Raw genomic sequence first — 27,769 nt, forward strand, 5'->3', positions numbered from 1 at the left:
GCCCATGGACATATGCTTTATGCTGTTTATTGGTGTTTCCCTCTGCCCGCGTCCCCAAGACAGTCTCGCTCCGTCTCCCAGGCTGGAGTGCAGTGGTGTGATCTCGGCTCACTGCAACCTCCGCCTCCTGGGTTCAAGCGATTCTCCTGCCTCAACCTCCCGAGTAGCTGGGATTACAGGTATGCGCCACCATGGCTGGCTAATTTTTGTATTTTTAGTAGAGACGGGGTTTCACCATGTTGGTCAGGCTGGTCCGCAACTCCTGACCTCGTGATCTGCCCACCTTGGCCTCCCAAAGTGCTGGGATTGCAGGCGTGAGCGACCGTGTCCAGCCATGAGTGTTGTATTTTTTTAAAAATGGTCTTGTACATCCTGGCTAACACGGTGAAACCCCGTCCCTACTAAAAATACAAAAAAAAAAAAAATTAGCTGGGCGTGATGGCGGGCGCCTGTAGTCCCAGCTACTCAGGAGGCTGAGGCAGCAGAATGGCGTGAACCTGGGAGGCGGAGCTTGCAGTGAGCCGAGATCGCACCACCGCACTCTAGCCTGGGCGAGTGAGACTCCATCTCAAAAAATAAAAAATAAAAAAAAAATAAAAGGTCTTCTAGTATTTAGCTTGTTTGGGGGTTGTAGTGGTACTCAGTGGGGTAGTGGGGTAAGTCGCATGGATCTTATGAATTGATGGGTTTTCAGTGGAGAAGAGCAACTTCTGTGGTATGAAAGTAGATTGAATCTGTTATTCTCTGATTTCAGGGGATACTTATTCACAGAACCTGGAAACTAGAGGACCAGTCCTGAGTTATGGCTAACCTGCAACAAGAGCTATATTACCTTTGTGTGTTTGTTACCTGGAATAAGTTAAGGAATGAGCTTAAAGGGCCAAAAATGCAAAGGGCATCATATGCCAGAAGATGTATAGAATGGAAGGGCTCCATATTTGTGAAACAGTCCCTCTCTCTTAATAAGTTATTTTAGGCTAGTGAAAGTAGAGCTCTATTTTGTTTTTAGGCATGCAAATCCATGTAGACTATAATAAAGGAAGTATTAGATTTACTTGTAAAATGGAGCCCTGAGAGAAGAAGCCATGACACACTGTCAGTTGCTGTCTGAAATTTGTGGTGTTCTCCTCAATGAAATTTAAATGAGTGAGACTGATGAGAAGTAGGATCCTTTATCAGAATTAATAATGAGCCCTAAAGAAAATCTGTCTGTGGGACTGCACTTTGAGTTTGTTATCTTCAGTATACTCAGAAGGCTTTACATAATAGAAGTTAGAAAAAAAATCAGTTTCCTAATTTGTCATTTACAAAATGACTTTTTTGGATAGGGCCATTTACCTTTTCCACAGGACTCTGTACCTCATCATCTCCCCTCTTTAATCTCCTCTTTGCCTTGAAGCTGAGGCCCTGGCTCAGCTGGTCCTGAAAAGCCTGGTCTCTTCCCTGGGATTGACACAACCTCTCTCAGTTGTCTCTTCTGGTTACTTCTTTGCTTTCTGGATTCATCCTATGTTCATTCTTATTTTATGACACGGGACTGTTTTTCACCGCCAGGGTATATATAGCCTTATAAAGATTCCAAATTTGTGAAGTTTATGAATTTGAGTTATGTAATTCATCAGACTTTTAAAATGTACTCTACGAACAATATATTATCTTTGTGATGAGGATTATATCAATTTCAGTGTGTAAAATACCGGTGTAACCACGAAACACCTATAGTTCTTCCAAAATATTTTTAAAAAATCCATGTTAATAGTACATATCTGCTCCCTATTTCCTTTTATGGATTTACATAGTGGAATGTGATTGCTGGTTGTGCCATGTGTACATGTCTCTAAATCTCTGAATCACTGTCTTTTCTGTTATCTTATAAAATATATGTGATGCATGTCTCCATGTGAAATTCTGCCAGAATCCAGAGATCATTCCTGTGACAAAACAAAGAAGCAATTTGAAATCAAAAGGTGTGGGATGGAATTAAAAAAAATAGTGTTAAGAGACCGTAGACAATTAAAATCCATGCTTAGTTAACTCTTTTTTCAACAAGAGAAACATGATAGATAGTTGATTTGTTTTGATGGGAACAGAAGGAAAAAAAGAAGCCTGTATCCTTTTATCTTTGCAAGCCTTCTGTCACGCACAGACTCTCTGCTGGAAAGGCTTCCACAGGGGCCCTTAATAATAAAAGTAGAAAAATTTGAAATCTCGAGTAAATCCTCATTCTTTTATGTAAAATTTCATATGACATTAATTTATAGAACACTTTACAGTACAGTATGTGCTGAAACTATAACAATAATTAGGAAATTTGTCAGACGGATCTAATCCAAAAATTACATGTTAGACCTTGTCCAAACTTTACTGAAACTATTAAACTAATTATCTCAAAAGTCTTGTAATTTCTTACTGTTCTAGCATTGCCAGCTCTGCTTCACCCCACACCGGGATTTGATAAATGCATATTTCACCATCATGATACATGAGGACTTCCTCCTGCACTCACGTGTTGCCTTATTACATTCATCTCAGTGATTTAAGGAGTGTTTAGCCAGTGTCCTTCAGTTTCTTGCTTTCTTGGCAAGTATTTAGAGTAGGTCTCACATAAGATAAAATCTGGTTTTCTCCCTTATAGCTTACCCTCTGACCTAAAACTGTATGCGAATTAGATTTTACCTTTCCTACTGTATTTTCTTTACTCAATAATTATTTTGGTGAAAGTTTAAGGTTATACTGTAGAAGGGCATAGTTTGGAGAGAGTAGACTCAGTGGAAATAGTGAAGAAAGGATGTCTTATTGAGTGAAGAGAGACAGATGTGACCTTTTGGTTAACTAATTAAGTTCCCTTCAGAACCTATTCTCACTCCAAGGCTATTTTCCTAGTATGTAATTGACCAAGGCTTACTGATGAGAGCCAGGGTTAAGAGTTGGCCAAGTAGCCCTGTGATTGTAAGACCTATATTGATGTATTCATTCATTCATTTACTCACTACTATTTAGTTGTGTGCCTACTGTGAGCCAGTATTCATGGCATTGGGGATACAGGGGATAGTCGCTTGCTGCTTGGTCATACTGGAAAGTTTTCTGCCACACTTCCAAAATCTGTGTGTCCTTTGAATTAGTGAAAAGAACAGAAAAGGCATTCAGAGGAAGGGATATGGAAATGGACTGTGGAAATGGCTGAAGTCAATGGGCTCAGTGGAATTTGGGAAAGCTGATCAGGAAGGTAGATTAGAGAAGCTAGGAGGCAGAATTCTCATTCCATGGACGATGTTTCCTCAATTCTGAAAGCCCTTTAAAATTTCGGTTGAAGTTATGTTTAATGTGCAAGTACTGTTCTTTCATTCTTATTCCCCTTGTCTACACCTAAGCTGTTGTTGAATCAATGGTGTATTTTACAGTTGAAGATGTCTCAGAATTGCAGAGGTAAGCGCTACAGGCTAAGCTTCTTTTCACAATCAAAAATTGATTGGTGCAGAGCTCTGAGACTTCATACAAAATGCTTCTTCATTTTGCTTTTTTTAATTAGCTAAAATCTTCTTTGTTTATTAATTTATTTTTCCAGCTTTATTAAGGTATCAACAAATAAAAATTTTATAAATTTAAAGTATACAATATGGTATTTTCAATATATAGACATTGAGAAATGATTAAGTCAAGCCAGTTAACATGGCAGTCACCTCATATACTTATTTTTTGTGCGTGGTGAGAACACTTAAGATATATTCTTTCAGGAATTTTCAAGTGTGCAAAACATTATTAACTATGTCACCATGTTGTACCATGGATCTCTGGAAGTTATTCATCTTGTCTAAGTGAAACTTTGTGCCCTTTAACTAACATCTCCCCTTTTCTCTCTGGCCCCCACCCTTGGAAACCACCATTCTATCTCTGTCTCTATAGGTTTGACTATTTTAGATTTCACATATAGTGAAATCATGCAGAAGTTATCTTTCTGTGCCTGGCTCATTTCACTCAGCATAATGTTTTTCAGGTTCATTAATGCTGAAATGACAAAATTTGTTTCTAAAGACTGAATAGCATTTCATTATTACATATTTTTCTTTATCTGTTAATCCATTGATGGACACAGGTTGATTTCATATCTTTTCTATTGCGAATAATGCTGCAGCAAACATTGGAGTGCAGATATCTTTTTGACATACTGATTTCATTTCCTTTGGATGTATACACAGAAGTAAGATTGCTGAATCATATGGTAGTTGTATTTTGAGTTCTTTGAGAAATCTCCATACTGTTTTCCGTAGATGTTGTACTAATTTATATTCTCACCAACAGTGTACAAAGATTTCCTTTTCTCCACATCCTCATCTTTTGTCTTTTTGATAAAAGCCATTTTAACTTGGGTAAGATGATATCTCATTGTGGTTTTAATTTGCATTTCCCTAATGATTACTGATGTTGAGCTTTTTAAAAAGTACACCTGTTTGTTATTCATATGTCTTCTTTTGAGAATTTTTTATTCATGTATTTTGCATTTTTAGTTTTTCTGGCTATTGAATTTTAAAACTCTTACGTTTTTTAAAAATTTTGTGGGTACATAGTAGGTGTATATATTTATGGGGTACATGAGATACTTTGATACAGGAATGCAATGTGAAATAACCACATTATGGAGAATGCAGTTTCTGTCCCCTCAAACATTTATCTTTTGAGTTAGGAACACATTATTGACTGTAGTTACCCTATTGTGCTATTGAATAGTAGGTCTTATTCATTCTGTCTACTTTTTTTTTTGGTACCCGTTACCTATCCCCACCTTTCCCCAGGTCCCCCACTACCCTTCGCAGCTTCTGGTAACCATCCTTCTACTCTCTATGTCCAAGAGTTCAATTATTTTGACTTTTAGATCCCACAAATAAGTGAGAACGTGCAATGTTTGTCTTTCTGTCCCTGGCTTATTTTACTTAATATAATTATCTCCGGTTCCATCCATGTTGTTGCAAATGACTGTATCTCATTGTTGTTTGTGGCTGAATATAGTACTCCATTGTGTATATGTACCACATTTTCTTTTAACATTAATCTGTTGATACACAATTAGGTTGTTTCCAAATCTTAGTTATTGTAAATAGTGCTACAACACGTACAGTGCAAATATCTCTTTAATATACTGATTTCCTTTCTTTTGAGTATACACCCAAAGTGAGATTGCTGCACATATGGTAGCTCAATTTTTAGTTTTTTTGAGGACCCTCCAAACAGTTCTCCATAGTGGTTGTACTAATTTACATTCCCACCAACAGTGTACAAAGGTTCCCTTTTCTCCACATCCTCACCAGCAGTTGTTATTGCCTGTCTTTTGGATATAAGCCCTTTTAACTGGGATGAGACGATATCTAATTGTAGTTTTGATTTGCGTTTCTCTGATAATCAGTGATGCTGTGAACACTTTCATATGTCTGTTTGCCATTTCTGTGTCTTCTTTTGAGAAATGTCTATTCAAATCTTTTGCCCATGTTTTCATTGGGTTATTATATTTTTTCCTATAGGGTTCTTTGAGCTCCTTATATATTCTGGCTATCAATTCCTTGTCAGGGGGATAGTTTGCAAATATTTATTTCCATTCTCTGGGTTGTCCCTTCACTTTTTTTTTTTTTTTTTGCTGCACAGAAGCTTTTTAACTTGGTGTGATACCATTTGTCTATGTTTGCTTTGGTTGCCTGTGCATATGGGGACTTGCTATTGAGTTTTTGGAGTCCCTTGTATATTTTGGATGTTAACCCCTTATAAGATATGTGGTTTGCAAGTATTTTCTCCTATTTTGCAGGTTGTTCCTTCAGTCTGTTGATTGTTTCCTTTGCTGTGCAGAAGCATTTAAGTTTGATGCAATCCCATTTGTCTATTTTTACTTTTGTTGCCTGTCCTTCTGTCATATTCAAAGTATCTTTGTCAAGACCCATGTTATGCAGCTCTTTCCCTATGTTTTCTTCTAGTAGTTTTATGGTTTCATGTTATATTTAAGTCTTTATTGCATTTTAAGTTGATTTTTGTATATGGTATGGGATAAGGGTCCAGTTTCAGTCTTCTGCATATTCTATAATTCCCACTTAGAAAAATATAGAATAGGGACAATTTCTGTAGGATCAGTATGAAGATAGTTTCCTGTCTTATATGTCTTATAATGTTTATTGTGACAGTTTGGGAACTATAGTGATATGGTTTTGATATTTGTCCCCTCCAAATCTCATGTTGGAATGTGATCTTCAAGATTACAGGTGGGGCCTAGTGGGAGGTGTTTGGGTCATGGGGACAGCTTTCTCAGGAATGCCTTGGGGCCTCCCTGTGGTAACCATTTCACTTGAGATCTGGTTGTGAAAAAGAGTCTGGGACCTCCCTCCCTTTCTTGCTTTTTCTTATCATGTGACACACTAGCTCCCTGTGCCTTCTACCATGAGTGAAAGCCTCCTGAGGCCTCACTAGAAGCAGAAGCTGGCACCGTGCCTCTCTACAATCTGAAGAACCATGAGCCAAATAAACCTATATTCTTTATAAATTACTCAGCCTTAGGTATTCCTTTATTGCAGTGCAAAATGGACTAGTGCATATAGAAAAGTATAAGTAAGAAAATAATATCATTCAGACTTCCTCAACTCATGGTGAAGGGTTGCTTTTATTTTGGTCAGTAAGTCTGTCTTTTCTCTTCTTTCCCTCTTTTTATCTTTCTCTTTTTCTTTTGTTCCTTCCCTCTCTTTTTCCCTTTCCCCTTTTGTCTTTAAATGTATCACTATATTAATGTCTATATGTCTGTAGATTTTTTTAATTTGCAGTTTTACTGCATTTACTGTTTTATGTTTTACTGTACATTTAATGTCATGTGGGAAATATTTTTCCATAACTTCAAATATTTTCAAAAACATTTTTAGTTGAGTTATATGATATATCACAATTTGATCTCTATTATTAGATATTCAGACTGGTGACAGGTTTTTTTATATTGGTAGTTATAATTCTATAAATCATGTATGGGCATAAAGTTTTGTATGCAGCTCTGATCATTTATTGAAGGTGAAATCTTAGAACTTGTATTGCTGGGACAAAGGGGAATACATACTTTGAAGATGTTTGATACATATTAGGAAAATATCCTCCTGAATGGCTATGTAATTCAAAATTCCCACCAGTCTTGAATAGGAATGGTCTGTGGCTCTTTTTTTTTGTAGATGTTTCATCAGTGATCTTGGTGATGAAGTAACTTTAGAATTTGAAGTTATAATATAAATATAAAATACTTGATGGTTCAGAAAATTAGCGAGTTGATAGCAAATTAAAGTTCAATAAGGAAAAATTAGGGCAGGAGAAATAAATGATACAAATGGCCAAAATAATGTGTGGAGTAGCTGTTTCTACATGCATTGCCTGAGGGAAAATCCAAGGTCATATGTAATATGACTACATTTTTTCACAGCCCCATGGGGAATGTTACTATGGTAAGAACTGCTCCCAAATAAAAAAGAATACAAGTAAGCTGTGCTGGAATTGATGCTGTGTTCTAAAAAGACTGATTTTATACTTTAAACTATTAAGAATTAAGAGACACTACATACCTTCGTGGGAGATATTAAATGTTCATTTTCATTATTTACTCTAATTATTTGAGCATAAATTGAATTTAAAAAGGCTTTCTGAAAGTTACTGCTGATCTTTCCTCAGTGAAACAGAGAATATATTTAGGAAGCTGGGGTGTTTTCCAGTAGCAACAACCAGTTCTGATTCTCTGGGCACGAACTAGATTTTCAACAGTTCACCTCAATTCTGACACTAACTACCTGGAGTTAGCTTCAGACTTCACAGGTTTAAGGGCTCAGTTCCATCAGACTGCACTCAGTTTAAATGCCAGTTGCAGGTACTGGGCCCGTAGGTTACTTGCACTCTGTCTGACTTATTCAGAGGTTCTCACAACCCTTCTAGTCAGGCTTGATAACTTGCTAGAATAACTCACAGAACTCAGTAAGTCACTCTATTTATTACCAGTTTACTATAAAAAATACAGCACAGGAACAGCCAAATGGGAGAGATGCATAGGGCCATGTATGGGGGGATTGCACAGAGCTTCCACATCCTTTCTAGGTGTGCCACCTTCTTAGCATCCTGATGTGTTCACCAACCTGAAAGCTCTCTGAATCCCATTGATTGGGGGTTTTATGGAGATTTCATCAAAAAAGCATGATCCATCATTAATTCAGTCTTCAGTCCCTCTCATCTCCCTGGAGGCTTGGGGTGGGACTGAAAGTTCCAAGCTTTTAATTATGGTTTGGTCTTTCTGGCAACTAATTCCTATCCTGAAGCTTTCTAGGGGCCTGCCACAAGCTACCTCAGGAAATTCTAAGGGATTTAAGAGCTTTGTGTCAGGAACTGGGGACGAAGGCCAAATATATCTTTCTTATGATGCCATAGAAGTTCATTTTTCTTCCATGAAATATTAGGGGAAACTGAATTATCTTTATTTTGCAAATGATACTTTGAGGATAGGAATGCTGTTCTACAATTAAGAAGGCATACATTTATAAACACACACATTTACACACACAAACATGAGGAAGCAGTTTTAAAAACCTGGTTTTGTTTGGTTGTATGTTGTTGTTCTGTGTGTATTTTAAGTGTGATTTATATCCTGCAAGCCTGTGCTAAACCTCTTTATTAGCAATTATTTCTTTTCATTTGTAGTACAAATCTAAATGTTCAGACAAATGACCCTGACCTTGATATAGTTACAATCCATAAGAATTTTATAATTTGATCTTTCTTTCTGATAGCTGATATTCAGCATGATTTTAAGACTATTAACAAATCATATGCAACAACTTAAAAATCAGAACATTTAGTTAATCAGGTTGCTTCAATCAATTAATTAAATATCTCTGCAGGATGACAGGGAATTTGCTGTGTTTTTATTATCCAGAGAACTTTGTCCTCTTGTGCTAATAAACTGTTTTTCTAGTTTTTTCTTTTAGCCTGGAATCCCACTGTTTATAATTGAATGTGAGATTCTTTTCTAACTGAAACAACTTTGAATAGGCACCTTTTAAAAAATCAGTATCATTATGTATTAGCAAACTTACTTCTTGAAGGAGGGTCTCAAAAACCATATGTCTGTCCTGTGCACATAGGGTGCTTTTCTGAGAGTAATGAGTGTCAGAGTCCACTGCTCCTATCGCTGATGACAGATGGAGGATGATCCAGGGAGTGAAATGGTTGTTGAGAAAGCTAAAATAAGTGGAGCTATAATTCTAATTAGTTTGTTCATCTTGACAGTATCTAGTCCTTAGTGTAGTCAACAGCTGTGAAAATACAAAGCTGTGTACTTTGATTCTGGAAATCTAGTTTCTTTACATTTTTAATTATAATTGATATATGTTAATTGAATAAAATTAGAAAAATAACAAAGAAATGAAGATAAGAGGATAAAAATCACCAATAATTCTACAGTTATACTTTCTATTTACTTTTTTTATCTTCCCCATTTTTCTTGTAACTGGGGTCCTACTGTCCATATAATTTCATGTCTTCATTTGTTGTACTTAACACTTTCTCAGGCTAATACAAAATTTCTAAAAATCTAATTTTTAATGGCTAAGTAATATTCATTTGTATAGTCATACTTTTATTAATTTAACTATTTGTCAGTCCATTTTCAATATTATCAATAATGCTGTGATGAACATATTTTATACAGATTTTTGTGTTCATTACTAATTATAATAAAACAGCATTAAGCCATTTGTTAGATTGTACATTTTCAGTGCCAAATTACAGGATATCAGATAGTTAGTTACACATCGCTGTGGGTGGGAATAGACCTGAGAAAATTTTATATGTTGGTATATGAGTTGTTCTTTAAAGGGTGCACAGTCAGGGCTTGGGCAGCTATATAAGAAATTCAGGGCATCACGGCAGTGGAAAATTTATGAGCAGAGATGTGTACAGGAGTACACTTGGGCTGTATCTGGTTGAGTGTGATCCAACCAATATGGAAGGATAGGCTGGGGAAATGGAAGGAAATAAAGTTTGAAATGTAAGGTGAAGAATTTGAAAATGTGTTAGTAGGATAGGTGGGGCAACTGAAAGTCCTGAATATTCTGGGTCATCTTACTTTTCACTCTTCATCAAGCATTTTTATTTAGCACATTTTATGTGCACAACTCTCATGATAATCTAATAAAGCCTGGAGGAGGCCACAGGGTCTTATACTTGAGTAGGGATGATATTAAAGCAGTGTATGCAGTGGTCTGTCATGTGGCCTCCATAAGTATGTTTATATTTTAAGACTGTGACACACTGTTGGTTTGGAAAAGTATGCTCAGAATGACGATTGGAAATCTTTGGAAGTGAAGAATCAGAGTAGACTCGCAACTTAAATGATGCAAATATTTAAAAGATTGTTCTCCATATAGATTGGAGGGGGCTGGTTAGAGGCAGAAATAGCAGGTAAAAGGTTCATTAAGGAATGCAAGATTTAACAGATGGGTTGGAGGAAAGGAAGGACTTAAATTTATAAATAGATAATTTAATGGTTCTGGTTATTCAGTGGACTCATTTTCAAAATATAAAAGCCTCAGTCCTACTCAAAATTTGCTAAATCAGAATTTTGAGGGAGTATATTTTGAAAGCTCCCTCAGAGATTCTGATACGTTTCTCTGGTTAGAAACAACTAAATGAATTAATATGTGTTTTTTCCATCCCAAGAAGTTGTCAAATTGTCTAAACCTACTATTGAATCTTAATATATTTAATATGCATGTGTGTGTATTTTTCTTCTGCATAATTTTCTCATACTGTTTTCAGTCCCTGATTTTTTTTTCTGTTACTTGGTGCCAAGTCTTATTATAAACTTATTAATTAATGTTACTCTGCAAAATCAATTTTAAGCAAATGAAATGCACTGCACAAGTTAAAAAGAATTTCTATAACTTTTTTCTTATTAAATGATAGGGACAAAAGCCAGGATGGATGTTCAAAAATGGTATTTGAGAACTTCAAAGCTGGCTCTGGCCTTGGCAATTATCCGCTCAAAACCAGCAGACAAAAGCAGCAGAGAATACACAGAGCACCTTGCTATGTTGCTGTCTGAGGAGCAGTCAAAATGGAGATCAAAAGTTGAAATCTTGGAAGCTGAAGTTATGCAATTACGTCAAAAACTTCTTGTGAGCAGGCTTTGTTCAGGATCCTTTAAGAGTGGTGAGTATATAAAATTGCCTTTTGGTAGTATGTCATACTTGTTTTATTTCAGTTGCACAATTATTTAGAAATGTATTCCCAAAACATGAAAATTTTTAGTTTCCATGAAAGCTCGACATCTTCTAGCCTTATACATTTTTTTACTTCTGGTCATTCATTAAAATTTTATTGTCACTTTCCTACATTTGACTTTGGAATGAAGTTAGAGAATGAAAATAGTATAGATGTGAAGGCAATAAGGTCTTTTAAAATCTCATTGTTCAACTTTATTATTTTACTATACATTTTATTTTGCTTTTATATTCAGTAGTTAATCTAGCAGTCCAATGTGAAATACCAGCTATCAGCCAGGCATGTGTGGGTGGTGAGGACTCCAAAACACATAAAAGGAGGTGCTGTCCTTGCTACTAAGTGTCTACCATTCTAGCAGAGAAAACAGGTGTATAAATAATTAACCTAGTTGTGATACATACTATAATAGAGACTGACAAAATACAGAGGAGGAAGTTATTCCTTCTGCCTAGTTTCTGGGAAGGCTTCTTACCTCTGGCCCTCAAAGTTCTGTCAGTGAAATGGTTACAGAACATCCAGTAAGATGCAGGAGCGTGTGCAAAGGCACTGGAGTGGAGAATACATATTGCATTCAGAATACTGCCATCATTACATTTAAGAGTGACCAGAACACTTGTAAGGCAAAGAAGCGATGGGGAAAAAGGTACAAGGTACAGAGGGAAGTTGGGACCGGATTCAGAAGGGTCTTGAATGTCAACCTAAGGAATATTTTACTGTATTGCTTATCAGTAAGTTAGCCATGTAATTTATGGTTTCTACTAGGACCCTTGTGAGGGTGAAAGGAAGGGCCTATTAATAATTACACTGGGAACACAGGGGCAAACCTGGGTTTACTTGAGCAAACTAGAACGTGTGGTTACCCTATTAATCAGGAGCCACTGGGCTTTTTTGAAGCAGAAGATTGACACTCATGATTGGGAAACATAATTCTGGCAAGTTAGAAAAAAAAACACATAAATCAGGCAGTGTTATTTCTTTGCATAAAACTCTTCCCTGGCTTTTAATTAGGCTTCGCATTAGATTCAGGCTTCTGATAGTGGCCCAAAATGCTGTGGGTGATTTCACCTCTACTCACCTCTCCCACCTCATCTCATACACTCTCCCCATTATCAGCTAGGCCCTAGTCAACATGGCCTTCCTTCTAGCCCTTGAAATCTCTTTATTGCCATGGTCCTCTCCTAGGTTCTTCTCTTTGACTCTTTGAGGCTGGTTTCTTCTCTTCCTTTGGTCTTATTTTAAGTGACACCTCCTCAGTGAGGTATTCCTTGACTCCTCTAGTGGACCCCCACTAGTTATTCCCCACACAAGCACCTCCTGTGTAGTATTTACTTATTTGTTTATTTACTTGGTTGCAGGTTTATCTCCTGAACTTGAGCTTATGTTCACTGAGGAGAGACCTTTGATTTTCTCAGGTCTCTTTACTTGTTGCCCAGCTCAAAGCCTGACACACAGAAGGTGATCAGCAAATACCTGTTCAATGAAAGAGGAACATAGAGGATGTTTTGGCTATAGAGGTGATTTGAGGCAGGGATACCAATTTTTAAAGCTTTGACTAAAGCCTACATAAGGAATAGTGAGTTGAATTAGATCTGTGATAGTGAGAAATAAAAGGACAGACATGTAGGAATAAATTCAGAGTAGACACTTTAGACATTTATGAATGGTTTCAGAGAGTGGTTAAGGGACATAGCAGTATTTAGGGTAATACCTAAATACCTAAATAAGGTTTCCCTCCTAGCCTACTGAATGGATTGTGATACTTTCAATTCAGATGGTGAACACAGAAATAAGCTAATAGGACAAAAGGTTGAGCCCAAGTTTCTCTGAGTGTAGGCTAATCCCTGGAATATGGATTACCTAGAAGGAAGGTGGAAGTATGGTCAGAGAGGATGAGCATGCTAGAACTACAGACACAGACTTAGGATCTGTTGGATTTAAGGAATAGTGAAGTTACTGCTGTAGATGAGACTCAAAGAGAATAGAGCCATGAGTGTAGGTGGGAAGCCTGCAGATTCCAATATTCCAGGGATGTCAGAGGAAGATGAGGCATTATCACATTAAGAGCGTGCAGCAGGTGTAAGGTGCACATATATGCTGTGGGTAATAGGAGACTTTAGTTTTGGGAATTATCATGAAAACCCAGTAACTTAATAGATGTTACTAAAATCTTACTATTGCATGAGCAAAAATAGTATTACACAATTTACAGCCACATTTTAGTTTCTCTAGAGTCCTTTTTGATAATGGGCTCTTTGAGTATACCCAGTGAATGAATGGCAAACATAGTCAATTTTTCTTTATTTTTTCCTGTATAGTTATACAATTAATATAATGTCTCAAATGTTAAAATTTCCAGGAATCTTAAACTATGACTATCATAAGCATCCATGAAATCAAAACTCTTGTTTACTATCCAAGGGTCTATTCATAATACTGATAAAATGTGCATGTTATTTTTTTGTAACATGAATGTGCCTAATAGGAGGAACCTAGGTGATAGCTTGTTTTTATGCTGAACACTTTCAGTTACAGTGCCTGTGAGAAAAATTTTCAAAAAATCATATAATTAAAGTCAGTTTTACTCACAGCAGGAGTTGCAGGTACAATGTTTCTGCACAGATGTATGGAAGTAATCTGGTTCTCTATCTGTTACCTTAAACTTCAAAAATGAGGAATAAATGAATAGATTTAGATAAATGGAGTAACTGTTAAAGGGGAGAGAAAAAATATACAAAAGGGGAGCATACACTGACAGGAAAATAAAGGAAGAACATGGCAGTTATGTAAGGATGACATGAAATAGTGATAATCCTTGCTCTAAGAAAACTCCATACCTGAAAATCAAAACTATATTAAAGTGTATTTATATTATTACATATTTTTTCTAGAATTTTCAGTGTTGTTTTATATGTGCAACTGTCGTTGAGTGTGTAGAGACAGAAAGTACTCAATAAATGTTGAATTGAATGATTCTTGACAGATTGAGAGGATGGGGAATTCAGTTTACAGCATCAACTATTCATTGAAGCAACTGAGCAACCCAAAATTAAATAAAGCAAAGCCAAAATGGCAAAATAAACAAGGAAGAAAGTATGATATGCTTTTTCTTTCTTTCTTTTTTTTAAATGTGAATATCAGATAAACAATGAGTAAGGTTTTATTATAAACACATCTCATTCAATATAATCATGTTATGCTAAACATTATTTGTTGTCTATTTGAAATTCAAATGTAACTGGGTGCCTGGGCAGCCGCGTTTCTTTTTCTTTTTATTATTTATTTATTTTAATTTTATTATTATTACACTTTAAGTTTTAGGGTACATGTGCACAATGTGCAGGTTAGTTACATACGTATACATGTGTCATGTTGGTGTGCTGCACCCATTAACTCGTCATTTAGCATTAGGTATATCTCCTAATGCTATCCCTCCCCCTTCCCCCCACCCCACAACAGACCCCGGAGTGTGATGTTCCCCTTCCTGTGTCCATGTGTTCTCATTGTTCAATTCCCACCTATGAGTGAGAACATAAGGTGTTTGGTTTTTTGTCCTTGTGATAGTTTACTGAGAATGATGGTTTCCAATTTTATCCATGTCCCTACAAAGGACATGAACTCATCATTTTTTATGGCTGCATAGTATTCCATGGTGTATATGTGCCACATTTTCTTAATCCAGTCTATCGTTGTTGGACATTTGGCTTGGTTCCAAGTCTTTGCTAGTGTGACTAGTGCCTCAATAAACATACGTGTGCATGTGTCTTTATAGCAGCATGATTTATAATCCTTTGGGTATATACCCAGTAATGGGATGGCTGGGTCAAATGGTATTTCTAGTTCTAGATCCCTGAGGAATCGCCACACTGACTTCCACAATGGTTGAACTAGTTTACAGTCCCACCAACAGTGTAAAAGTGTTCCTATTTCTCCACATCCTCTCCAGCACCTGTTGTTTCCTGACTTTTTAATGATCGCCATTCTAACTGGTGTGAGATGGTATCTCATTGTGGTTTTGATTTGCATTTCTCTGATGGCCAGTGATGATGAGCATTTTTTCATATGTCTTTTGGCTGCATAAATGTCTTCTTTTGAGAAGTGTCTGTTCGTATCCTTCGCCCACTTTTTGATGGGGTTGTTTATTTTTGTCTTGTAAATTTGTTTGAGTTCATTGTAGATTCTGGATATTAGCCCTTTGTCAGATGAGTAGGTTGCAAAAATTTTCTCCCATTTTGTAGGTTGCCTGTTCACTCTGATGGTAGTTTCTTTTGCTGTGCAGAAGCTCTTTAGTTGAATTAGATCCCATTTGTCAATTTTGGCTTTTGTTGCCATTGCTTTTGGTGTTTTAGACATGAAGTCCTTGCCCATGCCTATGTCCTGAATGGTATTGCCTAGGTTTTCTTCTAGGGTTTTTATGGTATTAGGTCTAACATGTAAGTCTTTAATCCATCTTGAATTAATTCTTGTATAAGGCGTAAGGAAGGGATCCAGTTTCAGCTTTCTACATATGGCTAGCCAGTTTTCCCAGCACTATTTATTAAATAGGGAATCCTTTCCCCAATGCTTGTTTTTGTCAGGTTTGTCAAAGATCAGATAGTTGTAGATATGTGGCATTATTTTTGAGGGCTCTGTTCTGTTCCATTGATCTATATCTCTGTTTTGGTACCAGTACCATGCTGTTTTGGTTACTGTAGCCTTGTAGTATAGTTTGAAGTCAGGTAGCATGATGCCTCCGGCTTTGTTCTTTTGGCTTAGGATTGACTTGGCAATGCGGGCTCTTTTTTGGTTCCATATGAACTTGAAAGTAGTTTTTTCCAATTCTGTGAAGAAAGTCATTGGTAGCTTGATGGGGATGGCATTGAATCTGTAAATTACCTTGGGCAGTATGGCCATTTTCACGATATAGATTCTTCCTACCCATGAGCATGGAATGGTCTTCTATTTGTTTGTGTCCTCTTTTACTTCATTGAGCAGTGGTTTGTAGTTCTCCTTGAAGAGGTCCTTCACATCCCTTGTAATTTGGATTCCTAGGTATTTTATTCTCTTTGAAGCAATTGTGAATGGGAGTTCACTCATGATTCGGCTCTCTGTTTGTCTGTTCTTGGTGTATAAGAATGCTTGTGAGTTTTGCACATTGATTTTGTATCCTGAGACTTTGCTGAAGTTGCTTATCAGCTTAAGGAGATTTTGGACTGAGACAATGGGGTTTTCTAGATATACAATCATGTCATCTGCAAACAGGGACAATTTGACTTCCTCTTTTCCTAATTGAATACCCTTTATTTCCTTCTCCTGCCTGATTGTCCTGGACAGAACTTCCAACACTATGTTGAATAGGAGTGGTGAGAGAGGGCATCCCTGTCTTGTGCCAGTTTTCAAAGGGAATGCTTCCAGTTTTTGCCCATTCAATATGATATTGGCTGTGGGATTCTCATAGACAGCTCTTATTATTTTGAGGTACGTCCCATCAATACCTAATTTATTGAGAGTTTTTAGCATGAAGGGTTGTTGAATTTTGTCAAAGGTCTTTTCTGCATCTATTGAGATAATCATGTGGTTTTTGTCTTTGGTTCTGTTTATATGCTGGATTACATTTATTGATTTGCGTATATTGAACCAGCCTTGCATCCCAGGGATGAAGCCCACTTGATCATGGTGGATAAGCTTTTTGATGTGCTGCTGGATTTGGTTTGCCAGTATTTTATTGAGGATTTTTGCATCAATGTTCATCAAGGATATTGGTCTAAAATTCTCTTTTTTGGTTGTGTCTCTGCCAGGCTTTGGTATCAGGATGATGCTGGCCTCATAAAATGAGTTAGGGAGGATTCCCTCTTTTTCTATTGATTGGAATAGTTTCAGAAGGAATGGTACCAGCTCCTCCTAGTACCTCTGGTAGAATTCGGCTGTGAATCCATCTGGTCCTGGACCTCTTTTTGGTTGGTAAGCTATTGATTATTGCCACAATTTCAGAGCCTGTTATTGGTCTATTGAGAGATTCAACTTCTTCTTGGTTTAGTCTTGGGAGAGTGTATGTGTCGAGGAATTTATCCATTTCTTCTAGATTTTCTAGTTTATTTGTGTAGAGGTGTTTGTAGTATTCTCTGATGGTAGTTTGTATTTCTGTGTGATCGGTGGTGTTATTCCCGTTATCATTTTTTATTGTGTCTATTTGATTCTTCTCTCTTTTCTTCTTTATTAGTGTTGCTAGCGGTCTATCAATTTTGTTGATCTTTTCAAAAAACCAGCTCCTGGATTCACTAATTTTTTGAAGAGTTTTTTGTGTCTCTATTTCCTTCAGTTCTGCTCTGATTTTAGTTATTTCTTGCCTTCTGCTAGCTTTTGAATGTGTTTGCTCTTGCTTTTCTTGTTCTTTTAATTGTGATGTTAGGGTGTCAATTTTGGATCTTTCCTGCTTTCTCTTGTGGGCATTTAGTGCTATAAATTTCCCTCTACACACTGCTTTGAATGTGTCCCAGAGATTCTGGTATGTTGTGTCTTTGTTCTTATTGGTTTCAAAGAACATCTTTATTTCTCCCTTCATTTCGTTATGTACCCAGTAGTCATTCAGAAGCATGTTGTTCAGTTTCCATGTAGTTGAGTGGTTTTGAGTGAGTTTCTTAATCCTGAGTTCTAGTTTGATTGCACTGTGGTCTGAAAGACAGTTTGTTATAATTTCTGATCTTTTACATTTGCTGAGGAGAGCTTTACTTCCAACTATGTGGTCAATTTTGGAACAGGTGTGGTGTGGTGCTGAAAAAAGTATATATTCTGTTGATTTGGGGTGGAGAGTTCTGTAGATGTCTATTAGGTCCGCTTGATACAGAGCTGAGTTCAATTCCTGGGTATCCTTGTTAACTTTCTGTCTCATGATCTGTCTAATGTTGACAGTGGGGTGTTAAAGTCTCCCATTATTATTGTGTGGGAGACTAAGTCTCTTTGTAGGTCACTCAGGACTTGCTTTATGAATCTGGGTGCTCCTGTATTGGGTTCATATATATTTAGGATAGTTAGCTCTTCTTGTTGAATTGATCCCTTTGCCATTAGATAATGGTCTTCTTTGTGTCTTTTGATCTTTGTTGGTTTAAAGTCTGTTTTATCAGAGACTAGGATTGCAACCCCTGCCTTTTTTTGTTTTCCATTTCCTTGGTAGATCTTCCTCCATCCCTTTATTTTGAGCCCATGTGTGTCTCTGCATGTGAGATGAGTTTCCTGAATATAGCACACTGATGGGTCTTGACTTCTTTATCCAATTTGCCAGTCTGTGTCTTTTAATTGGAGCAGTTAGCCCATATACATTTAAAGTTAATATTGTTATGTGTGAATTTGATCCTGTCAGTATGATGTTCTCTGGTTATTTTGCTCGTTAGTTGATGCAGTTTCTTCCTAGCCTGGATGGTCTTTACATTTTGGCAGGTTTTTGCAGTGGCTGGTACCGGTTGTTCCTTTCTATGTTTAGTGCTTCCTTCAGGAGCTCTTTTAGGGCAGGCCTGGTGGTGACAAAATCTCTCAGCATTTGCTTGTCTGTAAAGGATTTTATTTCTCCTTTGCTTATGAAACTTAGTTTGGCTGGATGTGAAATTCTGAGTTGAAAATTCTTTTCTTTAAGAATGTTGAATATTGGCCCCCACTCTCTTCTGGCTTATAGAGTTTCTGCTGAGAGATCCACTGGTAGTCTGATGGGTTTCCCCTTGTGGGTAACCATACCTTTCTCTCTGGCTGCCCTTAACATTTTTTCCTTCATTTCAACTTTGGTGAATCTGACAATTATGTGTCTTGGAGTTGCTCTTCTCAAGGAGTATCTTTGTGACATTTTCTGTATTTCCTGAATCTGAACGTTGGCCTGCCTTGCTAGATTGGGGAAGTTCTCCTGGATAATATCCTGCAGAGTGTTTTCCAACTTGGTTCCATTCTCCCGGTCACTTTCAGGTACACCAATCAGACGTAGATTTGGTCTTTTCACATAGTCCCATATTTCTTGGAGGCTTTGTTCGTTTCTTTTTATTCTTTTTTCTCTAAACTTCCCTTCTCGCTTCATTTCATTCATTTCGTCTTCCATCACTGATACCCTTTCTTCCAGTTGATCGCATCGGCTCCTGAGGCTTCTGCATTCTTCACGTAGTTCTTGAGCCTTGGCCTTCAGCTCCATTAGCTCCTTTAAGGACTTCTCTGCACTGGTTATTCTAGTTATCCATTCGTCTAATTTTTTTTCAAAGTTTCTTTTTTTTTTTTTTTTTTGAGACGGAGTCTCGCTCTGTCACCCAGGCTGGAGTGCAGTGGCGGGATCTCGGCTCACTGCAAGCTCGGCCTCCCGGGTTCACGCCATTCTCCTGCCTCAGCCTCCCAAGTAGCTGGGACTACAGGCGCCTGCCACTACGCCCGGCTAATTTTTTTTTGTATTTTTAGTAGAGATGGGGTTTCACCGTTTTAGCCGGGATGGTCTCGATCTCCTGACCTCGTGATCCGCCCGCCTCGGCCTCCCAAAGTGCTGGGATTACAGGCGTGAGCCACCGCGCCCGGCCCAAAGTTTCTATCTTCTTTGCCATTGGTTTGAATTTCCTCCTCTAGCTCGGAGTGGTTTGATCGTCTGAAGCCTTCTTCTCTCAATTCGTCAAAGTCATTCTCTGTCCAGCTTTGTTCCATTGCTGGTGAGGAGCTGTGTTCCTTTGGAGGAGGAGAGGCACTCTGCTTTTTGGAGTTTCCAGGTTTTCTGCTGTGTTTTTTCCCCATCTTTGTGGTTTTATCTACTTTTGGTCTTTGATGATGGTGACGTACAGATGGGTTTTTGGTGTGGATGTCGTTTCTGTCTGTTAGTTTTCCTTCTACCATTCAGGACCCTCAGCTGCAGGTCTGTTGGAGTTTGCTGGAGGTCCACTCCACATCCTGTTTACCTGGGTGTCAGCAGCAGTGGCTGCAGAACAGCGGTGGCTGTAGAACAGCGGATTTTGGTGACCCGCAAATGCTGCTGCCTGATCGCTCCTCTGGAAGTTTTGTCTCAGAGGCGTACCCGGCAGTGTGAGGTGTCAGTCTGCCCCTACTGTGGGGTGCCTCCCAGTTAGGCTTCTCGCGGGTCAGGGACCCACTTGAGGAGGCAGTCTGCCCGTTCTCAGATCTCCAGCTGCTGCTGGGAGAACCACTACTCTCTTCAAAGTTGTCAGCAGGGATATTTAAGTCTGCAGAGGCTACTGCTGTCTTTTTGTTTGTCTGTGCCCTGCCCCTAGAGGTGGAGCCTACCGGGGCAGGCAGGCCTCCTTGAGCTGTGGTGGGCTCCACCCAGTTTGAGCTTCCCAGCTGCTTTGTTTACCTAATCAAGCCTGGGCAGTGGCAGGTGCCCCTCCCCCAGCCTCACTGCCACCTTGTAGTTTGATCTGACACTGCTGTGCTAGCAATCAGGGAGACTCCGTGGGTGTAGGACCCTCCTAGCCATGTGTGGGATATAATCTCCTGGTGTGCCGTTTTTTAAGCCCGTTGGAAAAGCGCAGTATTTGGATGGGAGTGACCCGATTTTCCAGGTGCTGTCTATTACCCCTTTCTTTGACTAGGAAAGGGAACTCCCTGACCCCTTGCGCTTCCCGAGTGAGGCAGTGCCTTGCCCTGCTTCGGCTCACATACGGTGTGCTGCACCCACTGTCCTGCACTGACTGTCTGGCACTCCCTAGTGGGATGAACCTGGTACCTCAGATGGAAATGCAAAAATCACCTGTATTCTGTGTCGCTCACGCTGGGAGCTGTAGACCGGAGCTGTTCCTATTCGGCCATCTTGGCTCCACCCTGATATGCTTTTTCTACAGCATTTCAGGAACTCTGCTATTTCTTTATTCTTGTTTTTCTACAGCTTCTTAATGAATATACCTCTTTATTGTATTTAGTAGGGGACTAGACTATATAGGGGAGGGATAAAGAGAACTTGATTATATAATGTCACATTTTTATCTTACTTAAATGCGCTTTACTAATTTATGGAATGAAAGAATGAAAAACAAAAGGAAAGTAGAAAGGAAGGAAGGAAGAAAAAGAAGTGTACATACCCAGTGACACATTTCTCAAAACCTTTTTTGTGATGTGTGGCAGGTATGGTTAATCATCTTCCTGATCTATGGAAGAGAACATACGAGTGAAAAGCTATGCTCTTTTTCTTTATAAAAGATTACTTACATTTTATTTTATAGAATCTCTTTTTAAATTTATTTTTATTAATTTATTTTAAATTTCATAGACACTGCAACAGGCTCCTGTTAAAGAGGGACTCTTAATGTTGGCAAGGATTTAGTCTAGGTCTGAGAAGGTGGATGAGAAAGACTCACATCACAGAGACTAGCCAGGAAGATGTTAGTGGCTGTTTCTAAACTGGACTAGGGATTGAAGGGTTTATGGTGACAAGAGCAGGGCTTTGTTAATGGGAAAAATGGCATAGAATTTCCGTAGGCAGATTTAGGATTAAAATTTGAGTGTGTGTGCGGGTGGGGCAGGGGGAATCTGGACAGTTGCTATTATATTACACGGTCATTTGATATTCATAGGAGGGAAGTGGATGGATGAAGTGTCAGGTATGTGCCTTTTCGCCTGCAACTTTAAGTAGTTAATATATTCATAAATCATAGATAGTATTACACATCTATGTGTAATGTAATATACATAGATATATAAATATAACAATATATTTATGAATATATTATGAATATATTCATAAATCATAGGCTACAGGATGAGCAATTGGTTATAGTAAAAAGGATGAGCAGTTGGCCAGAGTGAAAAGAAAGTAAGAAAAAATCAAACTAAATTAATTCATTGATGTACATGTTTATTTAGTAAATGTTTATTAATTACAGGGCACTTGTATAGAGTGCTTAGGGTAGTGGAGGTGGAGGGCAGTATGCAGAGCAGTGTAAGTAGTTAGGGTTGAACTGAGTTTTAAGTTTTGGGTCCCGAGAAACAACCAACCCAGCCAGATGACTTTGGGAGCTTCCTGATCCTCTAGCTCACATTGCTCAGGTTGGTCCCCTCACTCTTCTTTTCTGCCTTATAGCCTGAGGACTGAATTCTCACTGTTCCATTGCCTCCCCAGTTCTTGCTTTCTCATCTTGTATAAGCATGTATTCAGGAAACAGTTTTTAGCTAGACTAGTGGTGACAAGAGAACAGAACAGGGGCCTGACAGATCCAGAATGGAGCTTGCCTTAGTCTTCTGATGACTGTTTTCCTGGTCCCAGCCTGCTCCGCCTCTGTTTCACCTCTTTGTCCTTCTCACCCTGTTCCAGACGACGTACTGAGGAAACATTGCAAATAACTGACTTACCGACACAACTGTGGAGCTCAGCATTTATAAGTTGGGGCATTCACTGTTTTACAGATGCTGAAAGAGTGTGAAAATTCAATGCGTAAGCATTTCTCTCTCAGTTCCCATATAAGCTTTCATAATATAAATTGTCTAATACAATAATGATGGAAGTTTGTTTAAAATTGTAGTTGATTTAAAACATACTTGAATAATACACATAAACATAAAAAGATGTATCCTTAATTTGATAGAGATTCTGAGAGGCTCTATAATAATTTCTTTCTGCATATCTCTGGAATCTCTGCATTTCTCTCCATTCCTGATGCCATTTCCTTGGTCATACTTAATTTATCCCAATGAGACTGGTATGTCTTTAACTGTAGCCTTTGCCCCTTTCTAGTCTAAATTGCAGCCCAGTCTCAAGTCATCTTATTTAATTTCAGATATAACCCAAAGGCCTTAAACTGGACTACAGACTTTTCCAGAATTTGGTGCTTACTTATTTCTCCAGCCCAACCTGTCACCACCACGTCCTTCACATTCTGCACTGAGACATATCAAATTTCTTCCACTTATTTGAATGGACCTTGCTCAGCCCCAGTTTTTTATACATATTCTCTCTGTAGGGTATGTTCTCCCCCTCCTTTTGGTCTGGCTGTGTACTATTCTTTCTTTTGTCATGCAGTTTCGATACCACTTTTGTCTTCACTAACTACCTCCCTAGACTAGATTAGGTTCTCCTGATGTGGGTCCCCATTATATTCTGTACTTTTTTATATGTGAGCTAAATTATAATTGTTTAAGCAGTCTGTCTTCCTTGTGAGACCCAAACTCTATGCTTTCAGAGACTATTTTCATCCCACTGTATTTCTATAGTTAGCACAGTTCCTGTCATGGAGGGACATGTTCGGTGGTTATTTGGTGAATAAATAAGTTTAGAAATGGTCTATGTGAGGGTTCATACTTGGAACAAAATGGCCTTGCCAATCTGTAGTTTCTAGATATCTGCCAAGCCCCTGTAACAGTGGAAGTAGAATACAGAGAGCAACATCCTGAATCCAGGATCGAGACCCAGTAAAGTAGGGTGAGTATTAGAGCTCCTGACTCTAAGAGAGCCACACATGTTTATAAGTAATTGAATCAGAATGGGATAAATGAAGAATGACAATGTTAGCTTCTTATCAGTGCAACAAAAGGCTAAAACCATTCACAGTACTTTTGCATTCCTAGGTCTTTGCTTAGTGTGATTTTTTTTTGGAATAGCTTAATGCTATAACAAATTGCAATCATCTTTATATTTAGGATTACATTTATTTTTTGACAGGTTTTATTTGTCTTTTAAGTGTCCTATTTATCTGTTTTTGATAAGTTTCTACTAGAAATCCAAACGTACCATGAGGATTCTGGATTTAATATGGATCCTAGAAATCCTGAAATTTATTTTTTAGGATAACTTTAATGTGCAGTGAATAAATCCAGGTAGATAGTTCTAGACTTTAGATTAGGCTGGAAAAATGTATAGTGTAATATCAATCCCATTATCAAATTGAAAAGGAAATTAGATAAATGGGGTAAATGGGATGAGCCTGAGATTCTGCATTTCTGATACACTTCCAGGTCATATTGATGCTGCTGGTCCGAGAACCACTATTTGACTAGCAAGGGACTGTGAGTGTGAGGGCGGGGGTTGGTAGTTGAAGAGAGTGCAAATGGAAGGACAGCATGCTGGTACTTTGAGAAGGAACCAGCAGAGAGAGAAAAGTAGAAGATACAGAAGGAAGAGGATAACAAAAGAATCATTGCTGGCTCAGGTTCTTTAATGTAGAAGAAATACAGAGCGCAAGTGGAAAGACTTGTCCTAGATCTCAAGAATATGTCAGCTTCTCTTTTTCTGAGACTCTTTTGAAGGTAGGAGAAGGTGCCCCTTTATCTTTGTTTTTGCTGAGTTCATTTCTGACAGGTTTTCTACAAGCTATTCTTTAAAGTTTATTTTCTTCTCCCACTTCTCCCCCAGTGCCCTTTATTCAGAAATCTGTGTCCTGGCCCCATTGTTTCTTTTTTCAACTGCCTTTGGGTTTTCATTCTTGAATTTCTTTCCTTGCTGCTTCAACTCTTGTCTAAGAAGTCGTCCTCCCCTCTTGCCTTGATTATAGATAAGGAAATGAGGAAAATAAGTTATCTAAAAGGTTAAATATATAGTAAATGGAATGGGGTTCCTATAGAATTCTAGAACAATGACTTTTAGTACTTTAAGGTGGTTCCTTAGATCAGTGAATTCCCCACAAGCTGCATGAGCATCAGGTGGGAAGTTGTTAGAAATGCAAATTCTCAGATCCCACCATTCCTGATTCTGTTAAGAATCAGAAATTCTAAGTGGGGCTCAGCAGTTTGTGGCTTAACAGGCCCCCCAGGTGATTCTCATGAATACTGGAGTTTGAGAATCACTGGTTTAAACAAAAGTGAAACATATGTTCAGGGAGCATAATAAAAAAATTTTACCAGAGAAGCGTCAAAGGAAACGTAATCATTCAAAACACCTGAGTGTTTTGAATGATTCAAACACCCAAGTGTAGTAAATTCAAAACATCCAAGTGCAGTAAATTAAGAGGGATTTGTAGGCCGGCTTCTGAAAGATTTCTCAGTACCAAGTGACATTTGGCACCTGGTCACCAAAGAATAAGTGTTTATTAAGAGCCTGATTGAGCTGAGTGGCAGAAATGAGAGAAAATGAACCAACAACAGCAACAAAATAGTAGTGCTACAATGACCCTAACAGCAACAACAACAATAAAAATAATAGTGCTCCAATGACCCTAGCAACTATGTTTGATACTGTTTCATACTGTTTAGTGCAATATGTAGATAAACATAATAGGGATCTAACAATTGGGTGTTGTTGATTCTTGTTCTAGGAGAACTCTCTCCCTTCTCCCCTCCATCTTACTGCCTTCGTTTGTTCTTAATAAGTACCCATATGTGAGGAGACATTTTGGGTAGGAAATTCAGTGTATCATACACTGGAAACCAGTAGAAAACCTTAAATTCTAATTAAACTATACTATTATATCAATCCATAGAAAAGTACATAAAGTGACATAGCTAAAAAGAAATGTATTGCATAAATGAATGCTAACATGTTGTAGGCAATAAGACAAAACAAATTTACTCGTAAATAAAGTTTACAAGTAATATCACACATGTGGAACTATAAACACACATACTTGCATTATATTCTGAGTCACACTGAAAGCTAAAATAGTAATCTTGATATAACATGAATTTGAGTGAATTCCTAAATAGAATATGCAGACAAAGCACATGTATCAATAAAAGTGGTACAAAACCAGCAGAGAAGTATAGTGATTGGAAATGAGTATCTGTAGAGGGAGGCCCAATGTGTATGTGGGATCCACATTGGCTTTACTGTGATTTGGGTGGTAGCGCCCACCCATCACAGGAAGGGGAATTATTACATTTTTCTTATATTACAAGTCAGTGGTGGTTTTTTCACATGAATTTCCTGTTACAAAAACACTGTTTATGTGAATTTTAAATTTAAGTGTGTGTGGGCATTTGTTAGCATTGGTATAGTAATTAAATACATGAGAGAATACCACTGTTGAGAGATGTGTGTGCTGTGAAGGAGACATTGAGGTGTTGTGAGCTGCTTTAAGTCATTGAGCAGATCCATTGTTTCACAGTTTTGTGGACTCAGAAAATGACACCATAAAGTGTGGTGCTTTGGTATGCTGAGTACTTCGAACTGAGGAACACGAAGGGTCTCAGAAGCAAAGTCCCTTTCTGACCTTCTCCCCTTCTTTCTCCCACTCCTCTTTCTCCCCAAGGCAGGCCATAGAAACTAGAATTATTTTTCCCCAAGGCAGGTCATTGAAATTAGAACCCCTTCCTGTAAAAAGCTAGACATAAAACCTAGAAACATTACTCTAACCTTCTTCTGCCTTTCTGTGTAAGAGCTGACCATAGGGAAATTCTCTGACCTACCTTATCTGAAAGTAGATCATAAGACACTCATTTCAGAAGGGGTCCTTCCCTGTGCCCACAAGGAATGAGTGCCACACAGAGAGGCCAGGAAAAATCCAAACAGACAGGCCTTGCTGGGTTTCCCCTCTTTGACTATTACCATTAGGTCATATCATTTTTGTTCAATTACATTTCTATATGGCTGTCCATTCTGCATCAAACCTAAGCATAAAACAGACAATTTTCTATGAATCTTTGGGTTGTCAATTCCAAAGGCTCCCATATCAAGTAAAATTTTGATTAAATAAATCTGTTATCTTTTTCTCCTGTTAACCTGTTGATATGGTTTAGATGTTTTGTCACCTTCAAATCTCATGTTAAAATGTGATCTTCAATGTTGGAGGTGGGCCTAGTGGTAGATATTTGGGTCATGGGGATGGATCCCTCAAGAATGATTTGGTGCTGTCCTCATGGTAATGAGTGAGTTCCCTATGAGTTCATGTGAGCTCTGGTTGTGTAAAAGAGCCTGGCACTTCTCTCCCTCTCTCTTGCTTCCTGACTCACCATGTGATACACCGGCTCCCTGCTTTCTGCCATGATTATAAGCTTCCTGAGGCCTCACCAGAAGCCAAGCGGATGCTGCCACCATGCTTATACAGCCTATAGAACCACGAACCAAATAAACCACTTTATAAAGTTCACAGTCTCAGATATTCCTTTATAGTGATACAAAACAGACTAACACAGAAAATTGGTACTAAACAATGTGACGTTGCTATAAAGATACCTGAAAATGTGGATGTGGTTTTGAAAGTGGGCAATGGGCAGAGTTTGGGAGAGTTTGGAGAGCTAAGAAGAAGACAGGAAGCTAAGGGAAAGTTTGGAACTTCTTAAGACTAAATGGTTCTGACCGAAATGGTGATAGAAATATGGACAGTGAAAGCCAGACTGATGAGGCCTCAGACGGAAATGAGGAATTTATTGGGAATTGGATAAAGGTCACCCACTTTATACCCTAGCAAAGAACTTGACTGCATTGTGTTCATGCCCTACGGATCTGTGGAAGTTTGAGCTTAAGAGTCATAATGTGCAGTATCTGGTAGAAGAAATTTCTAAGCAGTAATGTTTAGCATTCAAGATGTGCTGTGGCTGCTTCTAACTGCCTATTATCAGATGTCAGAGCAAAGTAATAACTTAAAGTTGGAAGTTACATTTAAAGGGGAAGCAGAGCATACAAATTTGGAAA

The 27,769-nt window shown here is 38.2% G+C and overlaps 1 protein-coding gene across 3 annotated transcripts in view; it reads left to right on the forward strand.

Moving 5' to 3' along the window:
* The window catches only part of MEI4 (meiotic double-stranded break formation protein 4), a 276,772-nt gene that overhangs the window by 29,431 nt on the left and 219,572 nt on the right, over window positions 1-27,769 (forward strand). For all 3 annotated transcript variants that reach the window (NM_001282136.3, NM_001322247.2, XM_017010155.2), the window contains exon 2: window positions 10,954-11,199. In NM_001282136.3, the coding sequence (NP_001269065.1) occupies window positions 10,968-11,199 (232 nt within the window). In that variant the 5' untranslated portion in view covers window positions 10,954-10,967. The remainder of the gene's footprint in view (window positions 1-10,953; window positions 11,200-27,769) is intronic.

The sequence above is a fragment of the Homo sapiens genome, chromosome 6 (genome assembly GCF_000001405.40).
Source record: "Homo sapiens chromosome 6, GRCh38.p14 Primary Assembly".
Taxonomy (NCBI): domain Eukaryota; kingdom Metazoa; phylum Chordata; class Mammalia; order Primates; family Hominidae; genus Homo; species Homo sapiens.